We start from the raw sequence: 16,230 nt of genomic DNA, 5'->3' as shown, positions 1-16,230 counted from the left end.
CCTCCATAGTTTTACCTTTTCCAGAATGCCATACAGTTGGAATAATACAGTATACAGCCTTCATAGAGTAACTTCTTTTGCTTAGTAATATGACATTAAAATATATTTCCCTCAATGTATTTTAATGGCTTGGTATCTCTTTTCTCGTTAGTGCTGTGATTCATTTTAATGTAAGTTTTTAAATGTGCAAACATATTTATCTTCCATGGCTACATTTGTTGATAGCTGCTTGATGGGCGTAGATTAATGTAAGAGAGAAGAACACATATATATCCTAATTCACATACAAAATAGAAGTAAAATATTGACCAGGTGTGGTGGTGTGCACTTGTAGTCCTAGCTACTTTCAAGGCTGAGGTGGGAAGATTTCTTGATCCCAGGAAGTCAAGGTTGCAGGGAGCTGTGGTCATGCTACTGAATTCCAGCCTGGGCATACAGTAAGACTTCATTTCTAAAACACAGAAAGAAAAAAGCAAAATATTGTTATTGTTTTTATCTCCCTTTACCATAAGCAAAAATGATTTAAGTGTACTTTTCCCAGCTATCAAATTAACTGAAATATTCACAGCCTTTTGGAGATGTGACATTTTATTATTGGTTGAATTCGTAGATTTTTATCAGAAATTGCAAACTTTGAGGCAGCAAGTCTGGGAGACACATCTCTAACTGCATTTCTCTATGTCATAGAGATCAGTGTGGCTCAAAGAATGGTCCACAGATTGGTGCTGCTCTGTAACCCGAGTAGGATGGGTGCAGAAATTGAGTGTCAGCATTGGAAAAGCTTTCACAGCAACTTGACGGAAAAATTATATATTGATTAATTCTAAAAGCAATGAATTTGCCTTTGTATTTTGCATGTCTTTTTTTCATTTCAATTTTTAAGTGGTTAATTTTCTTGTATTTTGTAAAAGGTTTGTTCCATAATCCATTGGAAAAAAAAAATAAAACTGGTTCCTCCTGACAAATAGCTTTAGAAGTGCTGCCAAATAGTACGGGCATACACAACAAAGTTTACTGAATTTGAAATTAAACAAAATGAGTGCACAGTAGGGCGACTTTAGTTAACAGTAACTTATTGTTTATTTCAAAATAACTAAGAGTGGAAATGGAATGTTCCTAAACCAAAAATGATACATGCTTGAGGTGATGGATATTTCAATTTCCCTGATTTGATCGTTACACATTGTAAATTTGTATCAAAACATTGTACGTACTCTATGTATAACTATTATGTATCCATGAAAATTTTTTAAAGGAAATGAGTGAGATTTGACCTCTCTTTCTTTGAAAATCCTGACAATAGAAAAACTGAAGTACTGTTTTGTCAAATGAGAAAAAGAGTTTCCAGAGATTTTCCAGCAACTCCTCGCCCTCCCTCTGTGGAAGAGAACCTCTAAAATGGCTGCCATGATCCCTACATTCTGGTATTCATGCTTTTGTGCTCAAATTTGGGCTAGTGACTCACTTCTCCAAAAACAATGCTATAGCGATAGGATGTCATTTTGAAATCAGCTTTAAAAAGACCACACTCTATATTACCCATCCTCTCACGCTCTCTTGGAGTTCCCACAGTAGGGGAAGCCATAATGTGAGTTGCCCTGTGGAGAGGCCCATGTGGCAAGGAACTTGAACTGAGCCAGTGAGAAACTGAAGGCCTCAGTTCAAAACTTAGCAAGGAACAAATCCTGCCCCCAAATACGTGAAGTATTGGTCAAGACTTCAGAAGAGTAGGCAGCCTTGGTTGACACCTTAGTTTCAGCCACGTGGAAGAGTTGCAGGCAGCAGCGTTCAACTAAACCATGCCCAGATTTCTGATACTCAGAAAGTGTAAGATAAATGTCTGTTGTTCTAAGCTGCTAAATTTTGGCATAATTTATTTTGTAGCTATACACAAGTGATAAATCTTTACTGAAAAAGGGGGTGAGTCACGTACTGCCACTGCAAACTCAAGTGGATTCCTGGGGAACTGTTGTTAGCTACTATCTTCCACATAACCCTTTACTGATTATTATAATTCTGTTTTAGCTTTCAAGTAAACTAGCTATTTTTTTTTTTTTTAGAAAGTGTGTTGATTATTTGGCAGTATTATTTTAGTGTTTTGAAAAAAGTGAAATCTAAAACTAAATATTGGGACAAACTCCAAGATATACACATTATACTAAATTTTTGAGTAGTGCAAAGGGTGTTTTGAAAGTCTTATGTTTATATAATTTTAAAGAGATAATAAAGGATATAATAGTCACAAAGCAAATCTTTTAGATAAGAATGAATCATATTTTAGTTCAAAGATTTTAGAAGCCATGAACTATGAATGTAACACTGTTACTACAGGTAATAGCAACTATGCATCAGATTCTCAATTTATACATGTAGAAACCAAATAACAACAATGAAATAAATTAAAAATAGCATCTTAAAAACAAAAATCAAAACTCAGTGGGAACAAAACAGCTTTCAGTTTGTGTCTAAAAACAGATATGTTCAAAGAAGGTATTCACAGGTATTAATCACAATAAAGGACTCAAAGGGAAATAATTAAAGTTCAGTTATAAATACATCCTCCCTAATACCTAACCAGTATACAATATGAAAGAGCTTATTTTTGCTACTAGAGGGGAAAAAAAGCACAGAAATACATTCTTGACTCAATAATGAAACAATGAATGCACCATTTTTCAGGATAGTACTTTCTTAAAAAGATAACTATTATTTTACTTTCATTTATGATGACCGTTATTTATTTTATACAGTATTTAGTTGAAATTTTGAACAGCACTGTATTTTTGTTGACTCTATATGAAAATATTTAATCAGACGGACATGCATTTAACATTTTTATGTTATATAAATGTATGTATTTATATTTGATGATATAATTAAACAGTCTTATAAACTATATTCAATATTTAGCATTATAGATGATTTAAAATTATGAATTATGAACACTAAGATAATGTTATAAATATCAAATGTAAAATTATGGAAATACCATAAATATTTTTACATTATTAATATGATACAAATGTATTAATATTTATTGCACATATGGAAACATAAATTTTTACAAAGAATGCAAAATAAATATGGAAATATTGGTATTGTTATTTTGCTTAAGCAGTAAACAATATCTAAAGTTTTGATTTACTAACCTAAGAAGCATTCTAGGATTAGAAGCACATTTTTAGTACTTAGAGGCACTTGACCTTAATTTAGCCTTTGATTTTCATTTTAAATTGAGGATCATGAAAATGTGGAATAGATATTTGCAACCTGTGTCTAAAATTTTTTCTATATAGTACATCATAAAGCTTTTTATAATCTTATTTTCCTTGGCTTCAGAATACATATCGTGATTACTTTTTCTAAAAATATGATAAATTCATCTGTAGATTGTCTCCAAAGCTAGATGAGATACTGATGGTCAGAAAAGAAAAAATAAAAGTACTTAGAAAATTTGGAGACATTAAGATTTGAGAATAGAATTATGCAAATTCTATTAACGTTCTTAAAATTAATGTTCTTTAAGAACAATAAATGTCTTCTCCATCTCAACAAAAGATTTATTGTTTCCTACATGGAAATAGAGAAGTATTCCATTAAATATTGCTTTCTCATTTTTTTAAGCCTTCTTTTGTGGGTGAAGTATAGGATGGTATAAGATAGTGTAGTAAAAGACCAGATACTGAATATTTTAAGCTTTTCGGGCCTTATGGCCTCAGTCATAACTACTGAACTCTGCTGTGGTAAGCACTAAAGCAGTTATAACATGTAAAAAAAAGGGGTGTGGCTAATAAAACTTTATTTACAAAAACAACTTGTGGGCCTGGCCCATAGGCCATCATGGCTGCTGACCTGTGGTATGCTGGAATGGTTTCAAATGAAGGCTTTGGGGCTATACTTCTGGGGTTCTAATTTCAAGAGTACTTCTAAATAGTTGTGTAAACTTTAGCAGATCATGTAATCTCTCTTTGCTTCACTTTCCCATCTGTACAATGGGAGTGATAGAATCACTTACCTCTTGCAGATATTGAGAGTAAAGTGTTCAGAACAGTTCCTGGTACAGGGTGAGTGAGTAATAAATTCAAGCCACTATTTTTATTAAATGTTTTTACATGTGTTAATGTCTTTATAGTTACAATGAAAATTCTTAATATTTAAAAGTTCTTACCACAATGAGATACCATCTCACACCAGTTAGAATGGCGATCATTAAAAAGTCAGGAAACAACAGATGCTGGAGAGGATGTGGAGAAATAGGAACCCCTTTACACTGTTGGTGGGAGTGTAAATTAGTTCAACCATTGTGGAAGACAGTGTGGCTATTCCTCAGGGATCTAGAACTAGAAATACCATTTGACCCAGCGATCCCATTACTGGGTATATATCCAAAGGATTATAAATCATGCTACTATAAAGACACATGCACACCTATGTTTATTGCGGCACTATTCACAATATCAAAGACTTGGGACCAACCCAACTGGATTAAGAAAATGTGGCACATATACACCATGGAATACTATGCAGCCATAAAACAAGATGAGTTCATGTCCTTTGCAGGGACATGGATGAAACTGGAAACCATCATTCTCAGCAAACTATCAGAAGGACAGAAAACCAAGCACCGCATGTTCTCACTCATAGGTGGGAATTGAACAATGAGAACACATGAACACAGGGTGGGGAACATCACACACCGGTGCCTGTCAGGGGGTGGGGGGCTAGGGGAGGGATAGCATTAGGAGAAACACCTAATGTAGACGACGAGTTGATGGGTGCAGCAAACCAACATGGCACATGTATACCTATGTAACAAACCTGCACGTTGTGCACATGTACCTTAGAACTTAAAGTATAATAAAACAAACAAAAGATTCTTAATTTATTTATTGAGGCAAAGTATTTCTTTGTGTCTTTCTCTGACATAAATGAATTTTAAGTTTTGCATATCAATTTAAAACTAACCAGTACACAGTCTCTATATATTCAGAGGGATTCTAACCTCAATTTTCAGAGACTTTCAGAGACAAATGAGGAATTGTCCCAATGGCACTGTCCTTTTGACACTATTTATTTTATTTATGTTTTTAATCTGTGGTAAGTCAGGGGGCATAAAATGCTCTGTAAAAAATAAAAGGCTCACCAAAGTGTTATAAATGAATTCTTTCAGGATTCTAAGACACAACATGGAAAATGAGTGCTACCTGGGTAATAAATGTGACACTTGGGGGCTTGAAGCAGATAGTTTGTCTCATATAGATAATTCCTTTATACCCAGACAAAGCTTTACCTAATCTATTTTGTGATCAAATCATGTATTAAGTATTTCTACACAGGAAAGTTTCCTCTTTTGTGAAATTTATTGGCTTAACTGTTATGCTAGCCATTCTTCCCCTAATAAGATGAGATGTGTAAATGAGATCATATATATGCCATAATATATAACCTATTTCAGAATAAAACAGATTGCCATTGCTATTTTTTAGCTTTAGAACTAGCAATACCTTATGATTTATCCAAGCTATCAAAATACAGGAAGCAATAAAAGTTAATTATAATAGGAAAATTCTAAAGTTTGGTTTGAGAGGGTTTGGGAGATTATAATCACGTAATACAGAAATCATAGAAAATTTCCCTCCCAACTCCTTAGCATAGAGTTACAAAATCATTATATTATTTATATTTCTGTATAGATATATAAAGATTAACAAAGTATTTGTCAATAAGTGGAACAATAGCATATTAAACTTTGCTTTGATTATGGAGATTTGAATGAAAATAAAATGGTTGTAGAAAGGTTAAAAATCAGGGGTCTCCCTGCCATTTATGCTTCCCACAACTATAAATATTTGGCTGGTTGACCTACTCCTTGGGAAAAAGTAGGATCTTTCAGTGTGGGACTTCTGGCCCAATCTTTTCTTTCCTGGAGAAGACTAGGGGCCCAAAATACTTTCTGTAATTTTTGTTGTGTTTGTAATTATGTTCTATTTGGGTGGAATTTGAGACTAGGACCTATTTTTCCACTTACTGGCTTGTGGAAAAAATAATTCAACAGTGATGGTTGTTGCTTTCAAGCGAGACTTAATAGAAACCAGTGGGTCAAGATTGGGGAGTTAGTCAGGAAAGTAAGTTTGGATTCAGAATAACTGATGAGCAGTAGGGAATGAATGAAAAATCCAGAAGGGAAAACAAGCCAGTGGGTAAGAAGGAAAAACTCAGAGAAATATGGATGGAATACAGATTAACATTCATATGCAGAGCCAAGTTGCTACATGATTCCTCAGGATTTTCTCTAAGATTCTTCTACAGGGTTACATAACCATTTTCTAAGGCTAAAGCCAGCATTTAGCATCAGGTACTCAGTAGGGGAATGACATTGGAAGGATTTGCGTGATTAATTACAGCAAAATCCTGTGAACAAGGGATTGTTTGGAGGTTCTGTATCTGTGTATCCGAAGATGCACTGTTATGAAAGACATGCTTGACCTGACTCAAGATCTTGTATATTTTATTTCATCTTAACCATTGACTAATTGTATGGCCTGGAGACCTTCCATCTAGTCGTTGTTCTGCAACAAACCCGCCCGCTACGAACCAGCCCAAAATGTAGTGGCTTAAAACCACAGTTTATTATTTTTATCTTATGATATCATGTTCTGACTTTCCTAGCTGGCTGCTTCTCACTTTGAGTCTCTAAAGTGATGGCAGTAAAATGGATGCTGAGTTTTGAGTCAGTTAAAAGTTCAAAATGGTTCTCTCACATGGTTGGCAATTGATTTTGGATGTCATCTGGTAGCCCTGCTGGGGATATAGACAAATGGCTTCTCTATGTGGCTTGGGTTTCTCTTATGGTGGTTGGCTGAAAGGTTTCTCATGAACTAGCACGAGAATGTCCTGAAAGCCATTCTGCCACATATTATTAGTCACGCAAGTCATAAAACCATATGCTATTCAAAGGGAGGAGGATGAAAATTCATCTTTTGTTATGAGTAAGTAGCAGGATGAATATGCAGTGAGGAAAGCCATTGATAAAGGCCATCTTTGGAGATCATCTATGCCTATACAACAGAAGCTTTGGATTCTTTATCTCTAGGAAGAACTAGGTGATACTTCAGATACCTTGGGAAATTAAATTTTTGGGTTCCTATGTCCTATATCAACATGTTTATAAGTTAGGTTCACCATGAAGACTTCTCACTAGCAACATTTCAGATTTATTTGTTTTCTCTTCTTGCTCCCATCATGCTTTGAATAGGTTTCTCTTTACATACTTAGTCCATTCTGAATGCATCTGGCTTTCACATTAGATTCTGAGCTCCTTGAAGTCACAAGCTGTGTACCACTCAATTTTCTTTTTCTGTAGAATCTACTGGAGCACAATAAATATTTACTGGAACAGTTGAAAAAAATAAAATCATAAGTCTGATATGACACTGGAAGATTAATAAGGTCATAATTTATATGCATTTGGCATCAGAAGTCAAGGGTCAGGGGTCACAATGGAATGATCAAAAATCTGCTTTCTAACCACCTATTCCATATATTATAATCTTCCTAAAATATACCATATATTTTATTCAAAATTTTTATTTTTACATGATATAATTTAATAAATATATTCATTTGTAGCATAATGATTGATGACAATTACTAGAATGTTTTCCTGGCTATAAAAATAATTAGTGCCATTTTTAAAGGCATATTATGAACTAGAACTATATTAATAGTTTGTATACATTAATATTTACAAAGCTTAACAACATTATTATTAGTTTCAATTTTCAGAAAATAAAATTGGAAGTCAGAGTTGAAATCAGAGTAAATGGTAGATATAGGGTTCAAGTTTAGACTTTTCTTCTTCTAAAAGCTTGGTCTTTTCCCTGATGTTCTATTATTCCTTACTGTTTGCTTTCTTTGATATTTATTTTTCATTCTAATATATTAATTGAAACTGTTAAGCTAAAATTTGAAAATTTGTTCCAGGACAAATTCATCCTTAGATCTTCATAATTATTCTTTTTAGCATTTTATTAAATTTTTATTTTTTCATCCTAATTTAATTGAAATTGGAGCCAATTGTTATGTGAACAAGATCACTCATTAAACAGTGAGGTATTCATTTTGGGGACAAGAAGAAAAATGACATTTTAAACATTTTAAACAGTGATACATTAATGAAATACAACTAATAAGTATTAACATAATAAAATGTAATTCTGAATGCCTTAGAGTAAACAATGTAACATCAATTGGGACCCTGTGAATTAAAAAGAAAAAAGTAAGACAGTACTATTGTAAAAGCCTGTCTCCTTTTTGGGTGTAGTATAGCATTGATGCTATTACTTTAAGGGAGAATATTGCTAAGATGTTCATTTTAATAATAAAGTGTCAGTAAATATAGTTGGCAGTACCATAGCTGAATCTAATGTTGGTTTTTATGTATTTCAATTGGATGACTCTATACAGAGGTCTTATATGAAATCCTGGATAGTTTGACATCAGACTTCAGGTAAGAAAGTGAAATGCTATAGGAATATTATCAGCTAAACTCTTTTCATATAGATTGACCAGAATATTCTATACCCCACCCAGAACTGGACTGTCATATTTGCTTAGAATATGGGCATAGAGTAACAAAAATAGTTACCATTGATAATCATCACTTTGACATTCATTTCATATTTGAAGTGTGTCTTCAAAAGCATTATCCTCTGTGTCTCACTTTATAATGATGTGATCTTTTTATAGCAGTTAACGTAAATTGCAAAATAGTTGTGAAAATATACAACAAAATTGTGTTCAGTAGACTTCAATAGTGTCTCTGTTTAGTAATATTTAAAAGTGTGGTGCTTTGTAAACTTTTTTTAAACATAGATTTTAGTAAGATTTTATTGCCGAAACCACTCTTCATAGCCACTGGGATGACTTAAATGGCTTAATAATGGCTAACATAATGCCTGAGTATTACTCTTTTTATGTTCATCGGTAGGCATTTATGGAGCTTTTGGGCATCAAGATCTCCTATTCCCAACTGATTCTGTATCAAACTCTGTGAGGATGCTTAAGCAATCTCTGACCTAGTTCTGTGCCAATCCAAATTATTCCTTCAGACAATGGGAGAGTTTATCAGTACAGATGTAGCTGTGTGGACACAAATGAACCAAACAGTTGACCTTTCCGTGTAAGCTTATCCTTCCGACCCACCTCACCTGTACAAAGCCTAGTTGTAACCAGTTATTGGAACAGGAAACTAGCTTCTCCATACTGGGTGTGGTGTTTATTTACACTGATCACCTTTCTGAACTTATAGTTATATTCTGTATTTATAAGAAAATAGAAATTTAGTCAGATATATTTGTATGTTATTTATTATAGCTAAATATGATAAGTAATATAAAGGCATAGAGCATGGACATATGACAGCATAGTTATATAAATGACAGTAAGTCGATACCAAAGAGTATTATATAGCCATTAAATATTTTGGAGAAAAAAACCCATACAGTTGTAAAGTGTTCTTAATAAAATATTACACAAAAATCTGCATTTAAAATTGAATGTTTAATATACTTTCAATATTATATTTGTGGAGAAAATCTGTTACTAGTAGCAGTACTTTGTTGTAAGATATTTTGATTCATTTGTCTTTATTTACCAACAACTCTACATCAGCTGTATTCAAATGAGTGAATTTTTCTTCCAGAGGATATTTGGCAATAACTTGTTACACTTCCCTTTTGTCACACCTTGTAGTAGTATCCCCACCGGTATCTCATGAGTAGAAGCAGAGGATGGTACTAAATAGCGAGCAATGCACACAATAGTCTCCCTACCCCTAACACAACGAAGAATTATCTGGCTCAAAATATCAATAATGCCAAGGCTGAGAAACTATGCTCTACAATACATAGGTGTGCTCAATAAAGTGCACATATATTTTATTTAAAATTAGAGAAAAAATGCAACATTAAAACCACAAGGAAAAAGACAGTTTAAACAATAAAACACATAAACCCAATTTTTATGTAGACTTTATTTTGTGGAAAACTTATAGTTATTATTTCTGTAAGTACAAGAAGTAGGCAGTGGTTTAATATTAAATTCTAATGGTGTCTGTAACTCACTCCATAAGTTTTTGAACATATGTGACAATAATCCAACTTTGCCTCTTGAAACATTCAGGATTGGTTTCAGTCGTTTAAACCCAGAATTTCTCCAATTGAGGGCAACTCTTGTAGTTGTTTTCTAAATCCCTGGTTGGCTTATTTTGGATATAAATTGAAGCCTGAGAACAACCAATATTCACACAAATGTTTTGAAACAAAAGAAATTGCGCCTGAATGAACACTTATGTGAAAATACTTTTATTTCTCATCCTGGCAAAATTCCTAAGATTTAATGAGGTGAAACTATTTTTTTGTTTTTTTGTTTGTTTGTTTTAATTTAAAGAAAACAAGTCTAGTGATGTGAGAACACAAAGAATATGTCTAAAAATGGGTTAGTAGTGGGACTACTTTGCATTTCCATCATATATATGTCTGATCCCCACAGTGGCCAGGCTTCGAGATTGCCCTTGACATAACCAGGAAAACCAAGTTCATGTTTTACAATTGTGATTATAGATTTTTATATAGCTGTGGTCCCAAACGAACCAAGCTTGACCATATTATTCTGAAGGAAGATCATTAAATGTGGTTGAGGTTAGATTTTAAAATTATATTCTTTTTAAATATACATTCCCCTAATTCCTGCTCATCTCTGCAGGTGTTCAGTGTTGCAAACACTATGTGCTATGTGAAACATGCTGCTTTGACATCATCTGACTTCAGTGCTAACAATGTCAGTTCTACACGGTTTCCACCTTCTTGGGCTCTGTGATGTTTACATGAATGGACTCACTATTAACAATAAAAACTTGGCCACATCCTTTTGGGTGTTGCCACTGGTAGCTGTACCATGTCAGTACAGTCTGAGATGACAGCAAAAACATTTTTTCTTCTTGCATTTACTATAGCAATAAATGTAGGTATTTAAAAATTTGCTGCGTTTGACTTTTTTTTTTTTTTTTTTTTTTTGGAGAGGGCATTGGATTTGAAAATAGGAGGAGGAGGAGTTTATGGCTGTTTGTAAGAAATCAGAAAAACAAAGGATTTGGTGAGCAGTAATGACAGCTTGTCCGTGGTGTTGCCCAAAGACACTGACAGACATAAACTTGACCCTTATGAGTAGCTATTAAGATTTAGCACCTCCTTTATTCCAGATACTGTGCTGGCATTTTACACATTTGATAACTAATCCCAATATCTCCCCCTCAAATAGGTAGATATTATTTTTCCAACTTTCATCACAGGACTCTGAGGATAGTCTAGGCCATCATCTTTTCTAAAGTGATGCAGCTAATAAGTGGTAGAGCCAGACTTAAAATTCTGGTTTGCCCGTCTCCAAATCCATCACTCACGTGTGCATGTCTAGCTTTCTGTTCTGCTTCAGGAGAGGCCTAAAACTGTAGCTGCCCAATTCCTCCCCATGCTTGGAATGAATCATAGTCATCATCCTCAAATAGTAAGATACATTTTTAAAAATAAAAGATATTAAATGAGTATGTTACGTTGCTCAGCTCAAGTTTTGAGACATTTAGTGGAGTAATTTAATTTGAAAGTCTAATTTTCCAAGAATTGTATCATGCTATAATTGTATTTAAAAATATTTTAAAGACAATACATAATCAGTGTTTATTAATTATCCAGTAGCATTATCCTTTCTTAATCTAATCCTAGATAATTTAGTGGAAAATCTATGTGTATAGATTGCTATAATTTGCCCTCCTCTTAATATAACCCTATCTGGACATAAATATATCAACTACAGTGATGTCATTTTTTTCTTTTTGTTTCATTTTTTAAAAAATTTGAAATTGGTGGGGTGCAATTACAGAAGGTAGTGATTAACTGTTAGTCACATTAAAAAAACTTCTGAAACTTAATTTAAAATTTTCATAAATAAATTAAAGGATTGCATTTATTTCTATGATTGAAGTCAGTGCTACATTTTCTTCCTTATACAGTGGAGACACTAAAAAAGAGGCTAGAAAGAAGATTCAAAAAAGGAAGATAAGTCATTATATAAAACTGATAATTGCACTCATATGTTTATCACAGCACTATTCAGAACCGTAAATATATTAGATTTAATCTAACTGCCCATCAACAGTTGATTGGATAAAGGAAATGAAATACTATTCAGCCATAAAAGGGAATGAAATTATGTCTTTTGCCTCAACGTGGGTGGAACTGAAGGCCATTATTTTAAGTGAAACAACTCAGAAAGAGAAAGTCAAATACCTCATGTTCTCACTTGTAAGTAGGAGCTAAATAATGTGTACACATTGACATAGAGTATGAAATAATACACGAGATACTTGGAAGGGTGGGACGGTGTGAGGGGTGAAAGCTGAGAAATTACTTAATGGGAACAATGTACGCTATTCAGGTGATGGTTACACTACAAGCTGAGACTTCACCACTATGTGATATTCATGTAGCAAAACCGCATTTATACCCCTTACATTGATACAAAGAGAAAGAATCTCTGCTGACCCCTTTTGAATTCTGTAACTTCTGTAGCTTTCCAATTAACTGACTTGAGTGGGTCTAACAGTTTAGAGCTTGGAAATGTTACAGCTTCACCATGATGTGCTACTCTCTTTTGGCAGGTTACCATAGTGACAACAGTATGTTAATTTCAACAGTGATATCTTTTTAATTTATAATAAAATATGATATTAATGAGGAATTTTATAAGGCTTTTAGAGTGGTAAAAACGGTAAATAGACATAGTCTATTTGGCCTTACTTTTAAAAATTCTTTTCAGTATACGTTGCCCTACATTTGTGCTGTACTGTCATATTTACTAAGTATATCGTAAATATATTGCATTGATTCTTTTCCATATTAAAGAATTAAACTTTAGGCAGGACTTAATTAGGTGTGCATTCTTTTCAACCTCTAGATTGCATTTTGATGAACTTCTTAGATATTCGATTAGCAAGAGAATGATTTGCATAAAGCATATTTACACTCCATGGGCCACTGCAGAATCACTTGGTATTTTCCCTGCTAAATTAATAGTTCCACTTATTGTTGTACTAGGGGACAATGAAGTTGTATAATTGGAAACTGGTAAGATACTTTATAGCTTATTAGCTTTAGGTAATTATCTGCATGTTATATTATGCACTGAATTGTAATTGAAAATATTGCATTGTAATATTTAGGAGAAGTGGCAACCAAAAATAGTTAAATTGTTATAGTAACCATTGACTTGCAATGAAAATGAACAGGTTTATTGAAAGACATTTCTGTAACTTGAAAACAGTGTGTTCCTTTTTGATAACTATTCTTTTTCTCTTGTTTCTTTTTTATTTTTATTTATTTATTTTATAATTTGCTGCTTGCCATTGCAGGAAGTAGAGGTTTGTATACAGCTTCTGTGTTTCATATTTAATTTTAGATTTTATATGAACCCTTGCGTTTTAATTACTTGTATACACTCAATTCACATTATTTTCCCCCTTAGGATGATTATTTCCGCACTTGGAGTCCAGGAAAACCCTTCGATCAGGGTAAGAATCTAACTATTTTAAAATAAAAACCTTTACATGTTCATAATCATTGTACTTTTAGAAATGATATTTACTGTCTGGTTAGGCTTGAAAATACTAAATAGAAGAGCTTACATGAATGGAAAAATTTGTGCAATAATTACTTACATTTCAGCATAATATTTTTAGAAGTAAGCTAATTAGTTATCATGATTATGTCAGGATGTCTTTTATTTTTAGATACATGTTTTAGATGACTGATTTGGGCTTCTGAACCTTACCAGGTTTATTTTTATCAGTAGATACAAGTCACTTCATCCAGTTTTCAAGTACATTCACTGGGCAATAGATTTATTTGTACAAACTTTTAAAACAAATGGCTTTTTTTGCCTCTTTTCCAATTAATAAAAGGTTTCCTTTAAGACTAGTAAATTAGTAATTAGACTCAGCTGGGGTCTTAACAAGCCCCAAAAGGAAACGTGTTATACAAAATTAGGGCTTCCCCACCTCCTTTCAAACAGTTTGCAATTCTGATTAACTTACCTTTAAAAGGAAAACAAGAAATAGGGATGAAAATGAAAATACTTCTACATGTGCAATGAGAATGGACACATCAAGCCCCAAGCAATCATAGTTACATAAATGACTAAAGAGATTTGTTTACTAAAGTTCACATTTAAAAAGTATCTTACTTTTAAAGTTTCTTTTTGTAACTTTCTGTAGTCTCTGCAAAGTAGAAAAAAAATTTCTTCTTTACATAGAGTATATAGTAACCGTGCAAAAGATAATACTTTGTGAAGTAGTCAGACTTAAAAATAGAAGTTTTTGTAAGAGTGTTTAGTAAGTGATTAGATGATGAAGACACAATATGTTATTTAAAGGAGCTCAGAGTATTTTGCTATGTTACCAGATTTTTACTTAATATTTGGGGTGACTGCTACAACAACCAAGCTGTATGAGTGAGAAACCACCTGTGTGGACCTAGACATAGACCATCATCAACATTGGTATTAACATGGAGTCTGAAACAGTCATTCAAATCTAATATCTTCTTAAAACAACTTTTTTCTTATATATTTCATTTGATTTCACTATTATCCAGTGTTTGTTTGTGAGATCAGCATTTTAAAATTCTAAAAGAATTAATTTTGAATTTGTTACTAATAAGTCAAGCCAATGCTCTAAAACACAGGCAATAAAAAAATAATGACATGCAGACAGAGATGTTATTTACTGGCTTTCTTGGGAAATGAATTTTTATGATAGAATCACAAACCTTGTAAAATGGGTGTTAGCTATGGAATTTGTCATACTTGGTGCATCCAGTTATAATAAAGATGTTTTTATTTTCCTTTATGTGTGCATGACAATGTGTTGAATTGCAATTTATCTCTCATAAAAAAAAGAATGCTATTTGAGAGTCTTCCAAACAATTAATGATACAAGATTGATTTGCTTTAATATTAAGAGAGGTTTTTAACCTACTAACTTAAAAATATTATGTTTATCAGACAGGGATAAGCTTATGACATGATAATAGCTAATGTTTATGAAGAATGTCCTATTTTGAGTCACTACTCCAAGTGTTTGATATATATTACTTAATTTAGTTGTTATAACCCTGCAAGGTAGATGAAGAAGTTAAGATATTGAAAGCAGTTAGTTAAGCTCCTGCTCAGGTTATATTCCCACAGTGTGGCAGAGTGGAGATTTACATTCAGTCAGTCTGAACCCCCAAACCTGTTTCCTAACTGCTATGCAATATTACCACTCATATGATAACACTATCAAGAAATAATGGCATCCCGATGATATTTTGAAGTTTATGCTTTAAAAATGCACATTTACTTGAACAAAGCTTTATTTCTATATGTTAAAACAGTATTTTTTAGACTATCTGATCTCAAGTTTTGATTTCTTGAACATATATAGTTGATAAACATGTAAGAAAGTTTTGTATCAAAAAAATAAAAATCGAACAAAAATTAGATTGAGATATGTGTATTTGTTTTTCGCTTTGAGTCAAATTGACCAACCTAGTTGTAGACCACACTGAGGAGTGAGCAAAATAATCCTATTTCCATCTAAATAGTGTCCATCATCTACATAGAAAAGACATGAGATATGTTCATTTCTAGTATGTTTCTTGCTTTTCTTGGTGACAGACTCTTCCTTCAAGTATTATTTTCTTTTTTGTTTGTTTTTTCTTTTTTTTTTTTCTGTGCCTGGTTTATTTTACTTAACATAATGACCTCCAGTTCCATCCATGTTGCAAATGACAGGATATCATTCTTTTTATGGCTGAATAGTACTCCATTGTGTTCAAGTCCTTCATTTTCTTTCTTTTTTTATTTTATTATTATTATACTTTAAGTTTTAGGGTACGTGTACACAATGTGCAGGTTAGTTACATATGTATACATGTGCCATGCTGGTGTGCTGCACCCATTAACTCGTCATTTAGCATTAGGTATATCTCCTAAAGCTATCCCTCCCCACTCCCCCCACCCCACAACAGTCCCAGAGTGAGATGTTCCCCTTCCTGTGTCCATGTGTTCGCATTGTTCAATTCCCACCTATGAGTGAGAATATGCGGTGTTTGGTTTTTTGTTCTTGCGATAGTTTACTGA

At 33.0% G+C, this 16,230-nt stretch overlaps 1 protein-coding gene across 12 annotated transcripts in view; it reads left to right on the top strand.

The window, feature by feature from the left end:
- SPOCK3 (SPARC (osteonectin), cwcv and kazal like domains proteoglycan 3) overlaps positions 1-16,230 on the top strand; it is a 501,562-nt gene that overhangs the window by 158,833 nt on the left and 326,499 nt on the right. For 9 of the 12 annotated variants that reach the window (XM_017008258.2, XM_011532018.2, NM_001204356.2 and 6 more), the window contains one exon: positions 13,576-13,621. The exons of the other annotated variants lie outside the window; for them this stretch is intronic. In XM_017008258.2, coding sequence (XP_016863747.1) covers positions 13,576-13,621 — 46 coding nt within the window. The remainder of the gene's footprint in view (positions 1-13,575; positions 13,622-16,230) is intronic. 12 annotated transcript variants of the gene reach the window in all.

The sequence above is a fragment of the Homo sapiens genome, chromosome 4 (genome assembly GCF_000001405.40).
Source record: "Homo sapiens chromosome 4, GRCh38.p14 Primary Assembly".
In the NCBI taxonomy this organism is placed as follows: domain Eukaryota; kingdom Metazoa; phylum Chordata; class Mammalia; order Primates; family Hominidae; genus Homo; species Homo sapiens.
The sequence above is the reverse complement of the archived record's forward strand: the minus strand, read 5'-3'. Positions and strand labels throughout refer to the sequence as shown.